Raw genomic sequence first — 9,010 nt, forward strand, 5'->3', positions numbered from 1 at the left:
ACACATTCCTTTCCCTCCCAACAGGTGCTTGTCCCGCCTGCAACCCATTTCTTACAATGCTAATGAGTCATTTATCAGAGCAGTAATGAGTTCAGGCGAGTGATATATCAGAGCATTAATGAGTTCAGGTGACTTACTAAAAAACAGTGGTTCCCCACTGCCTAGCCAGGAAGAGCTAGTACAGCATTCAAGACTTTTCATGATCCAACATTCAGGATGCATGTTCTTCAGAAAAAAGGAACAGACAAGAAATTTCAAGGAGAGCATTCTGAAAGCTAGGACTGTGAAGCCTATGTTGGATTAGTGACATGGTAATCACTAGTGGTGCATGGAGGGGATGGGTAGCCCACCCTGGCCTCCTGGCTCCTTCCTACCCTCTCACTGACATGCCCCAGCTCCTAGTCCTTATTCTGTTTGTCCTTTAAACACTGTGGTTTCCCAATGTTAAGCCTCCCATCTTCTTCTAATTCTAGTCAGTAGTCTCCCTTAGGTAATCCTTATTTTTGGCATCTCTTCATTCTATTGCTAGAAGTTATAATAGCAAACTGTCTACTGTGTTGGTATTCAACAAGGTCTGGAATACATCTGTTACTTCAAATTTTTCAGTATGGGCCGAGCGCGCTGGCTCACACCTGTAATCCCAGAACTTTGGGAGGCCGAGGTGGGCAGATCACAAGGTCAGGAGTTCGAGACCAGCCCGGCCAATATGGTGAAACCCTGCCTCTACTAAAAATACAAAAATTAGTCAGGCGTGGTGGCGGGCTCCTGTAGTCCCAGCTACTTGGGAGGCTGAGGCAGGAGAATCACTTGAACCCAGGAGGCAGAGGTTGCAGTGAGCCGAGATCACGCCACTGCACTCCAGCCTGGGCAACAGAGCAAGACTCCATCTCAAAAAAAAAAAAAAAAAAAGGAAGATTTCTGTTTGGGGGTATATATCAATAGGTAGTATAAACTACCCAAGCTATCCAACTAAGTTCACTGCCTCATTAGGACAACAGAAAAGTGTAGATTTCTTTTTTTTCCCAACATTTCCATCTGTTCCACACAAAAGAAACTTATTCAGAAATCGGTGAACTAGATCCTCTTTTTCTTAAAAAGACAAAAAAAATCTGATTTTTTAAAAAAATGTTCATAGAAATCATCTAAATGTCTTATAATAGGAAAATGGTTAAGTAAATTGCATTACAGCCACCAGAGAGAATGTTACCTAGTCGTTAACAACTATAGAGATGTTAGGAAAAAATACAGAGATTGCAGAGTTGAGTTTACACCTACCTAGGAAAAAGGAAAAGGCCCCTGAGAGGTCCCTGCTGACATTAATTGCCTCGGTAAAATGACCATGGTCCAGGATCCAGCCCTCTTTTACAGTCTGGGAAACTTAATTTTGTTAACACTCCAAAACTAGATTTCAGCTCTGCAACATAAGCTCATACTAAATCAATTAATGAAACAAATTAAAGAAAAAAAAACATTTTTTTTTCATTTACAATAATTGCCCCAAAAAAACAGTATTTCAGCCTGTTCTCATGCTGTGGGCAGCTCTACAACTAGAAAGCCAAATCACAAGCAAAGAGGTATTCAGCAAGCACTGAATCAGAACAGAGGGAGTTAGGTGAATTGAACCTCCAATAATATAATCACATATAAATAATATTAGCTAATACTGCCAGTGGGATGTGGCTATGCTAAGCCTGTTCATTACAATTTTGTGTTTACTTCTTTATAAAAGATTGTACTCGGCCGGGCGCGGTGGCTCACGCCTGTAATCCCAGCACTTTGGGAGGCCGAGGCGGGCAGATCACGAGGTGAGGATATCGAGACCATCCTGGCTAACACAGTGAAACCCTGTCTCTACTAAAAGTACAAAAAAATTAGCCGCGCGCGGTGGCAGGCGCCTGTAGTCCCAGCTATTCGGGAGGCTGAGGCAGGAAAACGGCGTGAACCCGGGAGGCGGAGCTTGCAGTGAGCAGACATCGCGCCACTGCACTCCAGCCTGGGTGCCAGAGCCAGACTCCGTCTCAAAAAAAAAAAAAAAAAGATTGTACTTGACAATCCTACAGGAACACCAAGTACATTAGCTAAGGTTCTCATTCCTCCTGTAAACTATTTGGTAGGACTATCAATATTGCTTCGAAGTTTTCTTTTTCTAAATACCGCCTCTGTATCACATTCTTTCTTTAGATATTTTATTAAGCTTAATCAACTTCCTCCTGCTCTAATACACCATGTGTCAATTTTAAATCAACAAAGAACACGTAACACAATGTTAGATGTGTTCGATGAAAACATATTCTGGCCAGGCACGGTGGCTCACACTTGTAATCCTAGCATTTTGGGAGGGCGAGGTGGGCGGATCACCTGAGGACAGGAGTTCGAAACCAGCCCGGCCAACATGGTGAAACCCCGTCTCTATAAAAATACAAAAATTAGCCAGGCATGGTGGCTTGCACCTGTAATCTCAGCTACTCGAAAGGCTGAGGCAGGAGAATCACCTGCACCCAGGAGGCGGAGGTTGCAGTGAGTCAAGATTGTGCCACTGCGCTCCAGCCTGGGTGACAGAGCAAGACTGTCTCAAAAAAAAAAAAAAAAATTAAATATTCTCTCTGGGTGCAGCGGCATGCGTGCCTGTAGTCCTGGCTACTTGGGAGACTGAGGCAGGAGGCTCACTTGAGCCCAGGAGTTCAGAGTTGTAGCCGATCAGGTGTTTGCACTAAGCTTGCCATCAATATAGTGACCTCCTGGGAGTGGAGGACCACAGGTTCCCTAAGGAGGGGTGAACTGGTCCAGGTTGGAAACAAGGGCATGTTAAAAATACCATGGGCACGGTAGCTCACGCCTGTAATCCTAGCACTTTGGGAGGCTGCGGCAGGAGGATCAATTGAGCCCAGGAGTTGGAGATCAGACTGGGTAATGCAGTGAGATCCTGTCCTTATTAAACAAACAAACAAAAAATTAAAAATAACAATTCAAAAATTCTCATGCTGATCAGTAATGGGATTGTGCCCGTGAGTACCCACTGCACTTGGCAACATAGCAAGACTCTGTCTCTTAAAAATAAATAAATTAAAAATTAAAAAAACAAAATGTTCTTTATGGTTACAACTATATAGTAAGAGTATAAATTCTGGAGTCTAGGAGAAACTATAGCTTTGCCACTTCCTAGATGTATGACATTGGACAAGTTACTTTACTTCTCTGGGCTTCAGCTTCCTCAACTGAAAAGTGGGGATAAAAATCAGTACCTTCCTCATATACTTGTTGTAATGAAATATGCATGTAAAATCTAAAACAGGGTCTCACAAACTAAGCTCCCAATAAATATGAGCTTCTATGTGTGATATATACACACATGCACACACATTTTAAGGAGAACAGAGAAAATAACTGGAAGGCAACACTCTCGAACTCTATTGGTGGTTATATGAAGTTGGTATAATACCAGTTTTTTCCTTTCCATATTTCCAAGTGTAATTAATATAATTTTGATAATAAAATAAGGCAACAGAAATCAATAACTGTTCCCACAGTAAAAACACAATGTGCACAGCATTATTAGACATTAGGTAAAGAAGCAGAAAGGTCTAACTCTGTTGCTCGGGCTAGAGTGCAGTGGCCCAATCAAAGCTCACTGCAGCCTCAACCTCCTGGGCTCAAGCAATCCTCTCATGTCAGCCTCCTGGGTATCTGGGACTACAGGCACGCAAAACTTAATTTATTTTTTGTAGAGACGGGTTCTGTGTTGCCAAGGCTGGTCTCAAATTCCTGGCCTCAAGCAATCTTCCTGCCTCAGCCTCCCAAAGTGCTGGGATTACAAGTGTGACCCACTCCACCTGACTAGGGAAGGCTTATTAAAGGAGGGGATAAGTGGAAAGAAGGGGCAGAGCTGAGAAGGATAGAACAGAGGCCCAGAAGTGGCAATGGGCAGGAGAGTGGACAATGGAAAGGAGAGCAATGCAGATGCAATAAAGGGATCAATTATGCTGAGCTCAGAAGAGGCAAATGACTAAAGAAAGAGTCTTCAAAGACTAAGTGGGAGAAAAACAAAAACAAACAAAACTTAGCTTTATAAAATAAGCTACCACTATACCATAATGACCTCACCCGTGAGTAAAATTATATCTCCAAGAAACACTGTAAATGCCCAAAATGCTGCAGTCCTCCACAGAAAAACCTTCTTCTTAGTTTCTGATTGATCACTTACTGTAACTGTTGCTAAAGGCACTTTAGAGCCAGAATTTGGTCCGAATTTTGTTTATTTCCTTCACATGGCATGGAGATAGCACCATGACTAAACAATTATACTTCTGGCTTTTAGAATCACAGTTTTTTATTAATGATGTTTTTTTAATACTCTTAAATTCAGACACATTTCTCCGATCCATTTCTACAGCAGAATCTCCTCCATTAGAAATCAACTTCATTTTCTTAGCTACTTGAAGGACTCCAGATAGAGCTTCAGACTGGCCCACTTTATCTTCAGAGGTACAGCTTCTTTTAATAGCACTTTTGTGGAAGGTATTTAGTTGGGAACACAGTATTCCTGAGCTACACAACTCAATATGTATCTCATTTGGTGGCAGTTCATCTTCAGAACTGAAAAGTTCTTGAGATCCTGTATGTTCTTCAAGACCTTTATCAGAGTTTATGTGAATGCGGCTATTTTCTGTTTTAGGACAAACAGGACTAAAAAGTTCAAGGGAATATGCTTGGTTTTGTCCACTTTCATATGCTTCTGTAAAACCATCAAGCTGAATCGAATTCTCTTCAGGTATTCTTATCTCCCCGTAACTTGCCTTTGGTTCAGTCTCCATGTTTACATTCCCTTTATTTACAGGACTCCGCCTTTTATCTTTCTTTTGAGCTAAAAAAAGCAACCTGGCTGGAGGTAATTATACTGAGAAATTCTTTATCAGTTGATATTTTAAGGTCTGAGACCTTCTTAACTGCTGCTTCAGACCTTGACTTATCTACTGAGTTCGAGGAAAATAATCCCAAACACTGGTTTTGTATTTCATGATATTCTGTTGGCACACACTCTCTTTGTACCACTTCAGGCCCTATATTAATTTTTTCAGTACTACAAACCAAATCCAACACAGCTGCACATTTATGGCCCAACTGAAACAAATTTGTGTTAAAGTTCTGACCACATATATCTGGCTGATGTTTAGGCTGTTCATCTCTAATTTTATTTTCACTGAGAAGCTTTGATACTTTTCTTCTTCGGTTAAATGCGGAACTGTGCTTTTAAATCCACATATTTGCATATTAGAGCTAGTTATGTCACTCAGTCTAGAGGAGTGAATCTTCTGGGATTCTATATTCTGTGTTTCAGAAACAGAATGTACAAAGTCATCTTTCACATGAACATGTCTATTCATACAGTTTGCTAAGAAATGACCACAAAGATCTGGAGAACCAATAGAATCTGGGACTTCATAGTTTTCAAGATTTTTGTGCTGTTTTTCATCCTTCAGATATAAAGAATGTTGACTGTATAAAAGCTGAATTTTTTTCCAGGGGTCAGCAACAGACATTAAAGAAGCTGTGTCTTCTGATACTGTCATTTTCAGTGAAGCAACTGGAGCACCCCAAAAAATGTGGACTTGAGATCCTCCACTCATGATTTCTGATAAAAATGAAAAATCCAAAATTAATATATTGTCAGCATATTTTTGCATATGGATATTAACTTAATAATGTACCAAAAGAAAATATAACTGAGTCAAAAACATAATTAACATAGGTGATTTTTTTGATATGCCATTTAATTATATAAAATTCATAAATACACAAGAAATTATTAAGGAGAAATCACAATATTCACAAAAATTTTTCACCTAAAGACTCTCTTTAGGCCGGGCGCAGTGGCTCACACCTGTAATCCCAGCTCTTTGGGAGGCCGAGGTGGGTGGATCACGAGGTCAGGAGATCGAGACCATCCTGCCTAACAGCGTGAAACGCCGTCTATACTAAAAACAAAAAATTAGCTGGACGTGGTAGCACACGCCTGTAGTCCCAGCCACTTGAAGGCTGAGGCAGAAGACTCGCTTGAACCCAGGAGGCGGAGGTTGCAGTGAGCCTAGATTGCACCACTGCACTCTAGCCTGGGCAACAGAGTGAGACTCCATCTCATAAAAAGACTCTCTTTAAGGGAAATAAAGCTAAGCACACTCACATCAAACAAGTTAATAGGTTTTTAGTATGTTTGTTTCATTTGAGATGGAGTCTTGCTCTGTTGCCCAGGCTGGACTGCAGTGTTGCCATCTAGGCTCACTGCAACGTCCACCTCCCAGGTTCAACCAATTCTCCTGCTTCAGCCCCCTGATTAGCTGGGATTACAGTCTGTGCCACCATGCCCGGCTAATTTTTGTACTTTTAGTAGAGACGGGGTTTCACCATGTCGGCCAGGCTGGTCTCAAACTCCTGACCTCAAGAAATCCACTCGCCTCTGCCTTTCAAAGTGCTGGGATTACAGGCGTGAGCCACCGCGCCTGGCCTGTTTCTTATGTTGTAAAAACTTGCCCCATTTAAATAACAAGTTAGTAAAGAATGGGAAAAGAGGCATTTGTTTAACTATATTACAGTCACCTTTAAATTAGTCATTTTGGGGCAGAGCACAGTGGTTCACGCCTGTAATCGCAGCACTTTGGGAGGCCAAGGGGGTGGATCACTTGAGGTCAGGAGTTCAAGACCAGCCAGGCCAAGATGGCAAAACCCCATCTCTACTAAAAATACAAAAATTAGCCGGCTGTGATGGCCCGTGCCTATAGTCTCAGTTACTCGGGAGTCTGAGGCAAGAGAAGCGCTTGAACCCAGGAGGAGGAGGTTGCAGTGAGCCAAGACCTCGCCACTGCACTCCAGCCTGGGCGACAAAGAGAGACTCCATCTCAAAAAAAAAAAAATTACTCATTTTTGGCCAGCCATGGTGGCTCACACCGGTAATCCCAGCACTTTGGGAGGCCGAGGTGGGAGGATCACTTGAGACCAGGAGTTTGAGGCCAGCTTGGACAACATAGTAAGACCACCATCTCTACAAAAAAATTTAAAAACTAAAAAATTTCTTAAAATTAGCTGGACATAGTGGTGGAACACCTATAGTCCCAGCTACTAGGGAGGCTGAGGTGGGAGGATTACTTGAGCCTGAGAGGCGGACATTGCAGTGAGCCATGATCACACCACTGCACTTCAGTCTGAGTAACAAAGTGAGACCCTTTATTTATTTATTTTGAGACAGAGTTTTGCTCTTGTCACCCAGTCTGGAGTGCAATGACGCGATCTCAGCTCACTACAACCTCCTGTCTCCCAGGTTCAAGCAATTCTCAACCTACCGAGTAGCTGAGATTACAGCCGTCTACCACCACGCCCAGCTAATTTTAGTTTTTTTTAGTAGAGATGGGGTGTCACCATGTTGGCCAGGCTGGTCGCAAACTCCTGACCTCAAGTGATCCACCCACCTTGGCCTCCCAAAGTTTTGGGATTACAGGTGTGAGCCAACGTGCCTGGCGAGACTCTCTTTTTAAAAAAATGATTAAGAATCACTACTATTGCTATAACTACATATTCCAACCTCATTTAATCCTCATAGAAAGAATAACCTTCATAAGGAATAACTGGTATATTAGCTGTTCTATTGCATGTCATTATTAGATTTACCACTAGGGGCCCCAAATAGCACAGCAAAAGCCTTCAAGTTCAAAATACATTAATATATCAAACCCAAGTGGAAGGAGAAATATATTATCTTGAAATGTTGGTTGGGACCAGGCGTGGTGGCTCACGCCTGTAATCCCAGCACTTTGAGAGGCCGAAGTGGGAGGATCACCTGAGATCAGGAGTCCGAGACCAGCCTGGCCAACATGGCGAAACTTCATCTCTACTAAAAACACAAAAATTACCAGGGCGTGATGGCACCAGCCTGTAGTCTCAGCTACTAGGGAGGCTGAGGCAGGAGAATCGCTTGAACCCGGGAGGTTGCAGTGAGCCAAGATCGTGCCACTGCACTCCAGCACTCCAGCCTGGGTGACAGAGTGAGACTCTGTCTCAAAAAAAAAAAAAAAACATGTTGGTGGGAATACTTAGATATATGCAAATCAAATGCATAACATTACCATGATAATGAATTCTCCTCCATCAGATCTTTGGCTTTCTTCTCCAATGGTTTCTTCCCTTTAGCTTCAAATCTTTATTTTATTTTATTTTATTTTATTTTATTTTATTTTATTTTTTGAGTTAGGGTCTCTCTCTCTCACCCAGGCTGGAGTGCAATGGTGCAATCATGGCTCACTGCAGCCTCAAGCTGCTGGGCTCAAGCTATCATCCAGCCACAGCCTCCCAAATAGCTGGGACTACAGATACATACTGTCACGCTCAGCTACAAGTCTTTAAAAATAAAACCAACCCCCCCGCCCCCACAAACTTGTTTGTTGTTTCTTACATCTCATTTCTCCTTTAATCTTCAACCACTTCTACTCCAACCATTTTGCTATAAAAGTTTTCACTATGGAAACCAATGACCTTCTAGAAGCCAAATCCAAAGGTCAGTTTTCAATACTTTTAGTACCATTTGAAACTGTTTATCAATCCCTCTTTTCTGAAACATTCCGCTTTTTTGACTCTGTGAGACCACCATATTGGAATTCTTTTGTACTTAAGACAGATATGTATTGGATTATTCCTTCAATCACTCACATAACAAACACTCAACATTACGTGCTGGGCATTATGCTAGGCCCTGGGAATTCAAAACAATAATAGAGAGCTTTAAGGAGCTTAATTTCTGAGAGGAAAAACAAACTGACAATTGTAAAAAGTGACAGGAGGCCAGGAGCCTTGGCTCACGCCTGTAATCCCAGGACTTCAGCGGCTGAGGCAGGTGGATCACCTGAGGTCAGGAGTTCAAGACTAGCCTAGGCAACATGGTAAAATCCCATAAAAATACGAAAATTAGCCAGGTGTGGTGGCACGCACCTGTAATCCCAGCTACTCAGGAGGCTGAGGCATGAGAATC

At 42.2% G+C, this 9,010-nt stretch overlaps 2 pseudogenes across 1 annotated transcript in view; one reads left to right on the forward strand and one right to left on the reverse strand.

The window, feature by feature from the left end:
* The window catches only part of SHLD2P1 (shieldin complex subunit 2 pseudogene 1), a 41,505-nt pseudogene extending 35,874 nt beyond the window's left edge, over positions 1-5,631 (reverse strand). The window contains exon 1 of the transcript NR_027632.1: positions 4,102-5,631. The product of NR_027632.1 is annotated as a shieldin complex subunit 2 pseudogene 1 (transcript). The remainder of the gene's footprint in view (positions 1-4,101) is intronic.
* RN7SL248P (RNA, 7SL, cytoplasmic 248, pseudogene) lies at positions 2,603-2,931 on the forward strand (annotated as a pseudogene).
* Positions 5,632-9,010: the final 3,379 nt, after the last annotated feature.

Source organism: Homo sapiens, chromosome 10, assembly GCF_000001405.40.
Source record: "Homo sapiens chromosome 10, GRCh38.p14 Primary Assembly".
NCBI classification, from domain to species: Eukaryota; Metazoa; Chordata; class Mammalia; order Primates; family Hominidae; genus Homo; species Homo sapiens.